This window comes from Homo sapiens, chromosome 5 (genome assembly GCF_000001405.40).
Source record: "Homo sapiens chromosome 5, GRCh38.p14 Primary Assembly".
In the NCBI taxonomy this organism is placed as follows: domain Eukaryota; kingdom Metazoa; phylum Chordata; class Mammalia; order Primates; family Hominidae; genus Homo; species Homo sapiens.
This window is the reverse complement of record NC_000005.10, coordinates 59,039,766-59,054,444: the sequence shown is the minus strand read 5'-3', so window position 1 is coordinate 59,054,444 and position 14,679 is coordinate 59,039,766. Positions and strand designations below refer to the sequence as shown.

The window sequence follows — 14,679 nt, the reverse complement described above, 5'->3', positions numbered from 1 at the left end:
CCTTTTTGTACATTTTTTTTATATTACTGAAAGCCAGCATCCACATGCCTTCAAAAGTGAGCACCTCTTACTTTAAACAAATCTACCAGGTTATAGTATAAAATATAAATTTTACTGTAGTTTACTGTCAATAAACTTTGTAAGCCACTGCTTCATTTCATTTAAACTTCCCCAAAACCTTGTATGAGTGGAGTCTGGGGATTCAGAAGAAGACGGTGGTCATCACAGAAGTTGAAATTCTCTACTGTTTACTTCTTTTCAAAGGTCTTGTTAGCGGTGGCCTTGAAGGTGATGAAGAAAGACACTTTCAAGGTGGACAGGTATAATTATTGGGTCACCAAGAACAAATTTGAAAAACAAAATATGCCAATTGAAATTAGCATGTAGCACCTAAATACCCAGAAGCTTCTTCATTGAATAATTTATTCATTGAATAAATTATGTAAACTGAATTAGTAATTCCTAGTGAAATAGTGGATGAATTGAGAATAGTGGTATTGGTAAAAATGGAAAAAAATTTTTTTCTTTTGAGACAGAATCTCACTCTGTCCCTGAGGCTGGAGTGCAGTGGCACGATCTGAGCTCACTGCAACCTCTGCCTCCCAGGTTCAAGTGAGTCTTGTGCCTCGCTTGAGGCACAAGATTAGATTTAGTAGAGATGGGGTTTTGCTTTGATGGCCAGGCTGGTCTCAAATTCCTGGCCTCAAGTCATCTGCCCACCTCGACTTCCCAAAGTGCTGGGATTACAGGCATGAGCGACCGTGCCTGGCCAAAAAAAAAAAACAACAACAAAAAAAAACAAAAAACAAAACAACTTAATTCATAAAACTTAATTCAACAATTTAAGAGTTATACTTCAAGAATGAAGATATATAATGAAAATATGAAGTCTTCAGAAGGACACACATATAATAATTTTAGTAAATCTCAAATTTGTCTCAAATCAAAAACTTGCTACACATATTTTTGTCTTAATTATCATAATTAAAAATGTCTACACATTACATAATACTATCTAGTAAATATGCCCTAGAGATTGTGTGTGTGTGTGTGTGTGTGTGTGTGTGTGTGTGTGTGTGTGTATGTACACCCATTATGTTTTCAGACAATTGGAAGAAAATTGTTAGGCAATTGTTTTTCTTTTATCAAGGAGCTGTCATTTAAGTGCAAAGCTGGAGTATTCAAAATAAAATTTGGGCTTACAAGATCAGGGCATGGCAAGACCTATCCAGATTGCTGTGGAATAATATATGCTTCCAAACGCTAATCTTAAGGATGAAAAACACATAAATGACATGCCTTCTTCCCCTTGCTTACCTTAGTGACTACAGTTTAAATAATCTAAAATAGCAGATACCATCAATACTGTTGCTAATTATGCTACTTTTCAGAGAGGTACAAGAGTCCTTGTACCTCTAGTAGTAGTGATACCACTACTAGTATCAAAAATACAAGATTGTTTTGTTAATTTTGACCATGTTTTAAAAAAAGATAGGGAGGAGATGAATTACTATTAAAAGCAGCTCTTATATTTTACATGTAATAGATGATAATTACAAGTTTTTAACAAATAACACATTTAAGTTGAACTGAACCGCCAAAAAAGATAGAGATATGAATATATGATTTTTAGATTAAAGTTAGTTTTAACATTCAAATAAAGTGTGGGAAAATGGCCTGGAGGCCACCTTCTAGGGAATGTATTTTTAGCCCTATTTTACAAAAAAGAAAACTGAGGTACAGAGAAGTTAATTTGCCCAAATTTGCCCCATGGTTGCTAAGTTGCAGAGCCAGCATTTGAACCACTGTTCCCAAGTCATACTCTTTCTATTGCTTGTAACTGTCATCGTAGACCACTAAAGTGGATACCTCCACAACTCTTTGCTTTCCACTGCATCTGGACTACCACAATAGCTCCTTAGTCTCCATCCTTCTCTCTTCTCCATTCTATCCTCTTAGGCTACCAGTGCACTTATCCAATTCCCACAATATCCACTAGCTCAAGGCCACACATTTAAGTGTTCAACTCTATATCCCTTCTCCTCCCTGGAATGTGTCTACTCCACCCAGCCCATTTACTGTCCACACATACAACCTTTATTCAGGCTGCAGACATTTCCTACACCTGAAAACAATGCCAGCGGACTCCCTCCTCCCACAGCCATTAAAACCACAGTCTTCCTTGAAGACCTACATCCAAGTTCACCTTCTTCCTGAAACCCAGCACACTGAGCTATAGTCCATACCTCCCTCTCCCTGCTCGAACTACAGTAGCACTCCCAGGCTGAATGATTTATATGCTACCTTACACTGTCTCTAGGCAGCAGCCGATCATGTGTCTGATTTTCTCAGCAGGTTATTATGGTTCCTTCCTGGGCCCAGGCTGCTGAATCTTTCATGTTCTTGTATTTCACAGCAACTATCACATCAGAGAGGCTCAATAAATATGTATGGATTTTTTGACTATTCTCTTTCAGGGGGAAAAAGAGAGAAAGAAAAGAAGAAAGGGAGGGAGGAAGATTACTCTCTGACCATTTCTCGATAGCATACAAAGTCAGGAGGAAGAGAAATAAAATGTCGTTAGTGGAGATTTCAACCATATGGGAACCTACTAAACACATGTATTTGTTAATGTTTTGGAGTTACCTGACATATAGGTATAGGTATAGGAAAACCTATTCCAGGTATTCTTCAAGAGGTGATAGTTGTTGTGTGAAAAATGCATTCTAAAATCAAACAGGTTTAGATAATGCTTGTTAATAAAATTAAATATCTCATTTTGCTGTGGACCTTCTAGCTTTTGGTAGGTTCGTGTCCATTAGAAATCACTGTAAAAAGCCTACATATACAATATTTCCCAAGCTTGTTTGACCACAAAACGTCATTAGTAAGGAGAATCTTATAAGGACAATATTGATTGGAACATTCTTTGGGAAATGTTTGAAATGATCTTCCCAGTAACCTCAGTGTAAGTGATGCTCTGTCATTAACCAATGACAAATACATATTCTTCCTACATAGTTGACTTTTCATGATTTGGTGTGGTCTTGTAAAAGCTATTCTATTTTGTTGTTTGTTTGTTTTTGAGACAGAGTCTCACTCTGTTGCCCAGGCTGGAGTGCAGTGGCACCATCTCCTCCACCTCCAGGGTTCAATTGATTCTCCTGCCTCAGCCTCCCAAGAAGCTGGAACTACAGACATGTGCCACACACACCTGGCTACTTTTTGTATTTTTAGTAGAGATGCGGTTTTGCCATGTTGTCTAGGCTGGTCTTGAACTCCTGGCCTCAAGTGATCTGCTCGCATCAGCCTCCCAGAGTGCTGGGATTACAGGCGTAAGCCACTGTGCCTGGTCTAAAAGCTATTCTAAATCATAGGTTGTTCACTCACATTTGGCTCAGAACTGGTTAATATTTGAGGGTTGATGGTGATGATGGAAAAATAGTAACTGTTTTAGGATTGAGAATCTGTGGAAAAGGAAGGAAACTCTCAAATATTAACTACCTTATTTAAAATTAACTTATTTAAACAACTCTGCAAAGTGGTTCAGTATACCTACTATTGATTGAATACCTTCTATATGTCAGATACAGCCCTTGGTACTTTACATTTCTTATGCATTTCTCATAATAACCCTGTAATTCTCAATGTATACAATGTGCTCAGGTCTTTTAAATGGCTTATTTCAGATAATACAACTAGAACAATGGCAAGGCTGGAATTCAAGTTCTGAGTGACTCAAAAGTCCATGCTCTTTCTGATCTATCACACTATTTCCCATGAAGAGCTCTTATAGGTTGTGGATTCTTCTGTGTGTATAATAACTTTCTTAGCCAAATCTAAATCTCCATAGATATTCTTGTAAAATTATAAAACTAATTTATCTTATTCGTGTATGGAGCCAGTTCATATACAACTGGATAAGCCAAATATAACCGATATACTCTTGAGTTCTGAAATTTGTTCTCTATAATGCACACACAGTTAACAAATGTAGGTTTACCAGTAGGCCAAAATAGTTTATCACTCATATGTGTTGCTTGTAATGCAAGTAATGAGATTAAAAATTGTACATAAGAAATTACCTTTCTGAGACTCTGTTCATAGCCTGTTTAAAAGGGCCTAGTCTTTTCGGGAAATCTTTTGTGTGTTTTTTCTTTTCTTTTTCTCTTTTTTTGGGACAGAGTTTCGCTCTTATTGCCCAGGCTGGAGTGCAGTGGCACAATCTCGGCTCACTGTAACCTCCGCCTCCCGGGTTCAAGTGATTCTCCTGCCTCAGCCTCCCAAGTAGCTGGGATTACAGGCACCCGCCACCATGCGTGGCTAATGTTTTGTATTTTCTTTAGTAGAGATGGGGTTCATCATGTTGGCCAGGCTGGTCTCAAACTCTTGACCTCAGGTGATCCACCTGCCTTGGGTTCCCAAAAGGCTGGGATTACAGACATGAGCCACCATGCCCGGCTGTGTGTTTTTTCTTAATCCCAGTCTTCAACTGGACAAATGTCTCTTTGGCATTACTTCTTAACCCTTAGGTATCTCATAGTGAGAGAGATATAAATGCTAAACAGAGATTTATGAGAAAGTTAAAAAAAAGAAGAAGAAGAAAGCAGAGATAGCGATTCCGAATAAAAGATTCTGGGGCAGTGTTGATTAAAATAATTGCTTTCTTTTCTTCACTCAGGAAAGTATTCTTAACTTGGAGTCCTTGGTGACTTCAGGGAAGTCAGTGAACACTTTTAGAGTGAAAAATATTGATAATATGAACTTATGCTCATTTTTCTGGGGGTGTTTGCATCAGATGCACCTTTGTGCATTCATCTGTTTCTCCCAAACATCATACTGGTGTATTGGTGAATTCTTTTAAAATTTTACTCTATTTTGTAAGGATCATTACATATGAATGATATACCATAATACTTGTCATTTTTATTTTAATGTTAATATTTCACTTCAGTAAGACACCATGATCTGCTTGACCATTACCAAATTTTGGCAATGTTAGTTCCTAATACTCTTTTAAAAAAAGAGAAAGAGTTTGAAAGCAAAAGACTGAGAACAAGAGATAGACGAGGGTGATTACATGTAGGAAGCCACACCCAGGCCAGTATTACTGTTTGAATCTCGTTTGGAAATAAATATTCTTATCTGATAGAAAACAAGCATACTTACTGATTATTCACTCACAAATATTTGCTGAGTGCCTGTAAATGTCAGGAATTTTCTAGACAGTTATAGAAAGGCCTAGACACAAATATAAAAATGACATTAGAAAAGTCATACAGGCAGAAGCCAGCAAATTATTTCCAGGTGGAAAGATTGGCTAAGATGGGCAGTCTTGGATGGGATAGTCTTAGATGTAAATAAAAGGGAAAGGTATTGAAAAGCAGCCGAAAAAGGCCTATGTGAACAGAAGTGTGACATTAATACAATAAGTAGGAGAGAGTTGTGCAGCAGGTTCTTAAAAGAATGAAACAATAAAACCAGGGTTTAAGGAAGATTATTCTGACTTTATAAATAGGACTGTGTTGAGAAAAAGTGAATCCAAGGAGATCCAGTAGTAGACCATTATATGAATCTAGAAATACACAGATGAGAATTTGACTGAAGGTGACAGTTACAGAAATTAAGAAGAAATTGGTAAGTCAACTGGCAAAGTATTGGATGGGAATATGGTAGGGGTAGGAGTGGAGATAAGCAGAGTGAGTGTAAATATACTCCAGAACTTTCTATTTATTAATAGCTTTATTTCTGAGAATACCTCAATTTCAAATAGAAAACATGTACCCCTGAAGAACAGTTGAGCTAAACTCACAGAATTCCAGGATCATGGTATTGGATGGGATCCTTGACAAGTAACTGGTCAGTTTAGGAATTCCCTCTACAAACATAGCTGACCCCATCCAGGCTAACTATAATGAACAACCTTAAAACCAACACCTAACCCAGATAGTACAATTTCAGAAATCAGATAATAAATGAATGTTAGAGCTGGGTAGGTGCTAAAGATAATCTGTTCAAACTCCTTGTTTTCTCTAAGGAATACTGTATGCAGTAATTGACAAAGGTGAAGAACAAAAGACTGTTATATCCTAAGATTGATAGTATATGATGGAAACACAGATGCTCTCCTACAGTCCCCCCAGGGAAATAAAATTGATTCCTAAAATTACAACAAGAATACGTAAATAGCATACATAATTGTAACTTTTTTTAAACCTGTTTGCAAAAATTGTCCTGTAACTTTGTTCAAACAACTTCCCAGACAAAAGCTTCCTCAGTAGCATTCTTTAACACCCTCTTTAGTCTTGTGTTGCTGAAATATGTGTTTGGAATGAAAATTATCTTAGCGCAAACCTGTGGGTATATACGGTCTGTACTGAATATCAATGGCAAAGCCTTGATATTTGTCTTAGCTCAAGCTGCTATAACAAAATACCATAAACTGATGGCTTAAACAACAAACTTTTATTTCTCACAGTTCTGGGAGCTGGAAGTCTGAGATCAGGGTGTCAGCATAGTCAGGTTCTGGTGAGGGCATCTTCAGGGTTGCAGACTGCCCACATAGCATGTATCCACATGGTAGAAAGAGAGCAACCTCTGGCCTCTTCTTATAATGGCACGAATCTAATTCATGAGGGCTCCATTCTCATGACCTAATTACTTCCGAAGGGCTTTCCCTCCAAATACCGTGACACCGGGGATTAGATTTCAGCATATGAATATTGGAGAGACACAAACATTCAGTCCATAACAATATTTTCCTTTGACATTTCCTTTTTCTTTGCTCCTGAGAGTTTTTCCTCCTAACTTTCTGCAGCTTCTCCTTCCCCTTCAGGGACTGCTTAGGATTTTCTCCTTATCTGGTCACCAACCTCTTAACTGGTCTTTACTTTTCTGATCTGCCTTTATACTATTCCCAGAGTAATCTTTTTGAAAAGCAAATCTGACCATGTGACTTCCTCACTTAGAAGATTTTTAATGGCCTCTTTAGAAGAAAATATTGTCTTAGAATAGTATACAAGTCCTCCAAGACTAGTTCTCCATCTTTATCTTTGTCCACTGTCTGATCTAAACTTTATATCCCTACCTGTTTGTAGCTTCCTGAATGGCCTGTGTTCTCTAAGTGAACTTCTTCAGAATGAATCCCTGTTCATTCCTTGAAATTCTTTTTTCTTTCTAACTACCCTAAAAACTGTTCCAGGTAACTATTAAGTTTCTGGACCCCGAGGTTATACCTAGGTATTAGTTGATAGGCTCACTAAAATTAATAGAATGTTTGCATTTAAGTTAGAGACTTGAGTCCAGGAGAAAGTGAAGATACAATGGAGGAGGAAGGGAAAAGAATCTATTAGGCAATCAATGCAAGATTATTTAACTCACAACCTCTCACTTGAACTAAAATAACTTACAAGGCTCTTGTTATTATCTCCAATCTATAGGTGAAATAAGGCCCTAGAAAGATTAGTAGCTGAATTGCCTGGAATTGCTTGTATGAAGTGGAATAGAGATTGGAATCTTTCTCCACTCTTCCAGTTTCTTTCAAAGAATAATATCACTCACAGTTGCACACATGTCACATGAAGCCCCCAACCTAGATGCCTAATTAAACTTAGCTCAAACTCCAATTTTTTGGACAAAAGGCCTCCTTATTCTTATAAAAGCTTTCTCCTCTTTCTTTGACTCTTCTCTTATGTCAGCTCAGAGAGACATTTCTGCTTGGGCCAATCTGGCCTTCAAGCTCAGTCCCTTCAATGAATAAAACAAAACAAAACAAGTCGGGATTTTGTACCTTCAGTAACCTTATTGACGATTGGGAGAAAGGGAAAATGCACGGGTTGGAGTTACCCTTTAGACCAAGCTGACTCCTTTCTCTTATATGCACACACACACACACACACACACACATCTTCAATAACCTTATTGATGATTGGGAGAAAGGAAAAATGTACAAATTGGAGTTACCCTTTAGACCAAGCTGACTCCTTTCTCTTACACACACATACACACACACACACACACACACATTCTCTCTCTCTCTCTCACTCTTTCATGCCCTTACATACATGCACACACAGAGACCAAGCTGACTCCTTTCTCTTACACACACACACATGCATGTGCACAAACACACATTCTCTCGCTCTCTCATGCGCTTACACACATGCACACACATACATATTCCCTCTCTAGCAACTGGCATATTCCTCCCCTTTCCTGTGTAGATGAGGCACAGATTAGTTCCACCCAAACCAAAGCTCTTCAAAGTCTCACCTTCTGTCATAAATAGCTTTATCGAACATTTTAATGCAGGCAGACTCTCGTGAAAGAAATTCTGGTGAATTCCATTGTTTTTTTCTCCATCTTATTACAGTATGATTAATAAGTTAGTGACTACAAGGTTGTAGTTTTTAAGAGCAAGAAGTCCACTCCCTTTCAAGTCACATTGGGCAGTCCTTCTGTTCATACCTGACATATTGTGGGAACATATGTCTGCGTAGGATTTTAATACAGAGATTGTCTTAGATAAGAATAATCGTCAGAGAAGCAAATGGTCTATAAGTTATTTAATTTTATTCTTAATATGGTCAAAGATAATGGTTGCACTGACTTCAACTTTACTTTCTTAAATTCCATTAATTGCATAGCACTAGAATTTTCCATATAAAATAAAATCAGATCCCATGTCACACAGTACTCTGAGTCACTCTGTGACTCCTACTCTTGAAGATATAGTCCTACCTGCAGATGCCTGACATGGCCAGTCTTTGAGATGGCCAGTGGCTGAGGATTTCTCAGATTTCTCCAGAATCTGTTCCCCTAAGCAAGGCCCTACTCATGGTTATTTCTTTTTTGACACACACATCTTTTTTTTTTTTTTTTTTTTTTTTGAGACAGAGTTTTTATGCTCTTGTTGCCCAGGCTGGAGTGCAATGGCGCAACCTCTGCTCACTGCAACCTCTATCTCCCAGGTTCAAGCGATTCTCCTGCCTCAGCCTCCCAAGTAGCTGGGAATATAGGCATGTGCCACCAAGCCCGACTAATTTTGTATTTTTAGTAGAGACAGGGTTTCTCCATGTGGATCAGGCTGGTCTTGAACTCCCGACCTCAGGTGATCCACCCACCTCGGCCTCCCAAAGTGCTGGGATTACAGGCGTGAGCCACCACGCCTGGCCGACACAGACATCTTGTTCATCATAGGTCTGTGTGCTTGCTCATCTTTTCTCTTAAAAATCCTTCCCACTCTCTTTTATTTCATTCTTGAGGACTCAGCCTTTTCCCACTCCACCTCTGTCCCTGTCTGATTTAAATAGTCCTCTTTTACTGTCCCATAGCCCACATGCTTCCTTCTGTGAGAGTGCACTCTACAGTTGTTTGCTGAAATTACCTCCTCTGCTGGACTCTGGGTAAGGGACACACTCTTTTCATCATCTTGTTTCTGCAGCCTCTAATAAAGTGCATGGCACATAGTCAGTGCTAAATAAATGTTGAGTTACTGGTGGGACTAAAAGTCAATGAAAGCCAACCTCATGTTTATTTCATATAAAAATTCTACTAGAGGCATAGGCAACATTCGGAAAAACAATTGTAGTTAGTGAGAAGATAAAAGAAAAAGAAAACCGTCACAAAATTGCACACATCTTTCCTTTGGAAGCTTTATGAAGTACTAAATAAAGTTTTATATATTTTATACAATTTTAAAATACTTCAAAACAATAATTTGATGCCAGAAATACACTTGGAGATGAGAGCAGCTTGCCACTAGCAAACTCTGCTTAAACCTATTACATGTACACATTGAAAGAGAATCCAAAGCCTTCATGTATTTCCCATCAGATAAAATGTATAGAGGAAAAAAAATTAAGTCAGCAAAAGTTAGACCTAACCTACACAAATCTTTTACTGTAGCAAACTAAAGGAATGACTAGCTCAAAGCAATACACGGTGAAACAGAAATCATTTTTTCCAGTTCTATCTACTGTAGACAGTATCAATTCCTTCCGTAGAACAAAGGGGAAATTTTGTAAGAATTAAGAGAAGAGAAGCTGGAACTGGTTAGGGAGATTTAAGTATTTGCTCTTAGGAGCTTTTTGTTGTAGTTCTTTTATTTTTAAAAAATCTGGATCAGTGCTCATCATGACTGGCCATCAGAGAAATGCAAATCAAAACCACAATGAGATACCATCTCACACCAGTTAGAATGGCAATCATTAAAAAGTCAGGAAACAACAGGTGCTGGAGAGGATGTGAAGAAATAGGAACACTTTTACACTGTTGGTGGGACTGTAAACTAGTTCAACCATTGTGGAAGACAGTGTGGCGATTCCTCAAGGGTCTAGAACTAGAAATACCATTTGACCCAGCCATCCCATTACTGGGTATATACCCAAAGGATTATAAATCATGCTGCTATAAAGACACATGCACACGTATGTTTATTGTGGCACTATTCACAATAGCAAAGACTTGGAACCAACCCAAATGTCCATCAATGATAGACTGGATTAAGAAAATGTGGCACATATACACCATGGAATACTATGCAGCCATGAAAAAGGATGAGTTCATGTCCTTTGTAGGAACATGGATGAAATTGGAAACCATCATTCTCAGCAAACTATCACAAGGACAAAAAACCAAATACCGCATGTTCTCACTCATAGGTGGGAATTGAACAATGCGAACACATGGACATAGGAAGGGGAACATCACACACCGGGGCCTGCTGTGGGGTGGGGGGAAGGGGGAGGGATAGCATTAGGAGATATACCTAATGTAAATGAGGAGTTAATGGGTGCAGCACACCAACATGGCACATGTATACATATGAAACTAACCTGCACATTGTGCACATGTACCCTAGAACTTAAAGTGTAATAATAAAAAAAATCTGGATCAGTTGTTATAATTTTTTTTGTTTTTTTGAGTCGGAGTCTTCTGCTGTTGTCCAGGTTGGAGTGCAGTGGCCCAATCTCAGCTTACTGCAACCTCTGCCTGCCGGGTTCACGCCATTCTCCTGCCTCAGCCTCCCGAGTAGCTGGGACTACAGGCGCCCGCCACCATGCACGGCTAGTATTTTGTATTTTTAGTAGAGCCAAGGTTTCACTGTGTTAGCCAGGATGGTCTTGATCTCTTGACTTCATGATCTGCCCGCCTTGGCCTCCCAAAGTGCTGGGATTACAGGCGTGAGCCACTGTGCCCGACCTCAGCTGTTATAATTTGTATTTTTTTTTTAAATTAAGGGCATACAAATAGTGTCCAAAATAAGTGGTATTTTTTGGACTTGTTCTCTTCATGTATACCAATAGGTCTATCTAGGAATTATGACAAGCCGATACAGTCCTTTAGCAGACCTTCAAGTGTTGGCAAAGAAACTAATGTCCACATAGTTACACATCCCGTACAGTGGATCCTTTTACCTCAATGGTCAACATCACTGTGAGTTGTGGGTAAGAGTAATGGACTGAACATTTCACAAAAAATGACCTCAACCTCTAGCTAACTGCTGTGGCTCTGAGGTGATTACTTTTTTCCTTTTTCAAAAGGAAGCTGCTTCTTCAGCATCTTCTCCTGGAGCCCCTGGCACAGTTTCAGGCCATGTGTCAGGGGAACCTCTAAGCATATCACTGTGACAGAAGCCAAGTGCTGGCCCGCAAGAATTGAGGACTGTTTGTTCACAGAAGAGCCTCAGCAGAATGCGGGTGTTACATAGTTCAAAGGTGCCTTGAAGAAAACTGATGCTGTTGTAGCAGGGGCCTTCAAGGCTCAATTTATTTCTCAGTTGCTGTTCCATAGCCCTCTCCCAGCCTTTAGGGAGTTTAGCCAATAGTTTTTGCTTGGGTGTTTTTCTCTGTTTAGTTCCTTGACTTAGCAAGATTTGGTGCAGTTAAAGAGTTTTCATGTATTTTTAAGGAGAGCCACAGTGTATACTACTCTGGCAGGGGTTGAGGGGAAGTATTTTATTAATGAATGCAGTATGTGTTCTTGGTAAAAGCCAAAATTAAACTGGCTCACTGTTTTTGTCCTGCTAGCTGTCGACATTTAGGTGTGTTGCTTGGTGTGGTGACTCAATTTCCTGTGGGATAGTTGGCAACTCCACTTTGAGGTTTGTTCGGCGGGATGAAAAGGTCAGTTACTTGATGTCTTAGAACACTTGGGGTTAAAATTCCTAAAAGTGAAGCTTTACAAATGATCCTGAAAAATCGTGGCTAGCTATATTGCCTACTCACCTAGGAATTTGGAAAAAAGCAATATTCTCAGCTCTATGCTAATATCAAGAATAATTCTTTATTTGAGCAACAGTTTCACAGAGCAAACTTTACTCTGTTAGTAATTATTTTCTCACTAGCATGTAGATGTGTTCCAGTGATTTTTCATTTTTCTTATTTATACAGATGTTAGAACTTAAAATATATGCTTACCCCATTTTATCATCATACTCAAATCCTGTCTGTCAAAAGTGGCTGGTGCATGGCTTGGACATAAAATGGATATTCTGAAGTAAATTGTTCCTCCTGTCACTATACTACCTTCTTAAGAACAAATCCTGTGTATAAAGTGCATGATGTCTTGAAGCATTAGCCAAAACTTTCCTGAATTATTTTCCACATTAAAAAATAACAACTGAAATATAATGTGTGGAGCCACATCCTGTTAGATTTGAAGCCTGAGTCTGAACAGCTTTGGGAACTTGGTGAAGATGGAGGAAGGGGGCAGTTTACTTAGCTACTGGGAAATCACTTGAGGCTCAGGCTTTGAGAAAGTTGGAGTGCAGGGGAGAGGAGCCACAGAAAGCCGAACCTCAGAGGGGACTCCCAGCTTCATTGTAACCAATGATTGAAAAGATGGCACTGAACAAATCCCAGACACAATGGTTATGCATCTTTAATCCACTGGATAGGCTAACTATGGACAGCTCAAATGATCATAAAACAAGTCAATGTCCTCTTAAAATTTCCTACATTCCTATATTATGGGAATGAGAGAGAGAGGAAAATATCAAAACCAAACCATATAGTAGATGCACTACCATGGCAACTAGGTGATGCTATACTTGCATATGGAAGTTATTCAGTAAAATGAAAATGATTGTGTTAGAGCCATAGGCGAAAGTATTGTTTGTGATCTTTAGGGTGTGGGGTTACAATGGACTTCCTATATTTGTGTGTAATGCTTCAATTTTTATAACAAGCATGTAATATTTTTTACATTCTTAGAATTGGGGAAGCTATACAGAGCAGGTATTTTATATTTACCATTTAAAATTATTAATATCTTTAAGCTTGTTAAGGGGGAAAAAAAAGCTTCAATCTGAAACTTTAATTCACCTGGCAAGGTTTAGGCAGTTGTTTGTCCATCTAAAGTATATATTTACATAGACTGCGGGGTGGAGGAAGTAGAACAAAAAAGAGGCAAATTTTAACCTAGAGTACTCAAAGTGAACAGTAAATAGTTCAAGTATTCTTGATAACAATAAGCCACGTGGCACATGTAACAACTACTTTAAAAGTTACTCTAACTTTTACAAAGTTCACATAAAAAGCTATCTCAAAAATCCCAGGAGCCTAAATTCAGTCCATGAACTTTATTTGTTGTGCCATGTTAATTTATGGAGTCTAAATTTCAAGGGCAGAATTTCTTCTCCAATACCTGTAGATTCAAAGACAAAGACAAGGGATCCCACCACTTAGTGTAAGTTTCTCAGTATCTTCTTTCCACTCGACAATGACAAAGTTTTATCAAATGGACCCTTGGGAGTTTGACTTCTCCTCACTATGAATGGTTTGCTTATTGCATGCTAATGTAGAAAAGTTCTCCCACAACTGATCTGCTTAGGGACAGTGTCCCTGGTGCCCTGGGTCAGCCTTTGTAAACAGAACAGGCTTTTCTGTATGCCTTTGAATATGGTCTTTCCGTTTTCTCAAAATTGTAGTGTACTCTGCACATGGTGGGTAGAAACACCCTTCCAGATTTTCTTCCTTGGCCCAAGATCATCTAGGTCTTATGCAATTCACAGGGGAAAGGAGTAGTATGCAGGACATGCGTAAATTCTCCTTACCATGTGGTTCTTTCACATTGCTGTTCCTTTAAGAGAACTCTTAGGCAATTCGGCATATGAAAATGCAGCCTATTGTCAAATTTGTGAATTATAAAGCGTTCCGACCCCACAACATTGTATATTTTGTTTGCTTGTTTCTGTCCGCCCCAACATTTAGAAGTCTGGTACTTAGTAGGGACTGGGCTGGGTAGAAAAAGAATGCGGTCTTAATTCCCACAACCCTGCCTCCTTGAAGTAGGTGAATCCTAAGCCTTTAGAAACGAACCCCCAGAAACCCTAAAACTTAAACCCTCAGAAACCTTGAGGGTCCTAAATAACCTTGTTTGTGAAACTTCGCAGGAAGCAGCCGGTCGTGGAGTCGCAGAGGCTCCAGCGGTCTGGGCAACCTGGAGGGCAGTGGCTCGGCGGGGCGCGCGGGGTTCTAGCGAGACAGGTGCGCGGCCGTGCGCGCCTGCGTGCCGGTCCCTCCTGAGCCCCGCGGCGGGCGCGACCCCGGACGGCGGACTGCAGGCGCTCCACGCCGGGTTTTCCGCCGCTCTCCTAGCACAGACAGTCCCACAGCAGCCCCACAGACACACACGCTCGCGCCCGCGCCTCCTCGTCTGCACTTCAAAGCGAGTGGC

At 39.4% G+C, this 14,679-nt stretch overlaps 1 protein-coding gene and 1 long non-coding RNA gene across 26 annotated transcripts in view; one reads left to right on the top strand and one right to left on the bottom strand.

Annotated features, from left to right (window-relative positions):
* PDE4D (phosphodiesterase 4D) overlaps positions 1-14,679 on the top strand; it is a 1,553,091-nt gene that overhangs the window by 1,467,684 nt on the left and 70,728 nt on the right. The gene's annotated exons all lie outside the window — the stretch shown is intronic.
* Positions 1-14,679, bottom strand: part of PDE4D-AS1 (PDE4D antisense RNA 1) — a 23,745-nt gene extending 9,066 nt beyond the window's left edge. Inside the window, exon 1 of the long non-coding RNA NR_198970.1 lies at positions 14,375-14,679. This is a non-coding gene — a long non-coding RNA (PDE4D antisense RNA 1). The remainder of the gene's footprint in view (positions 1-14,374) is intronic.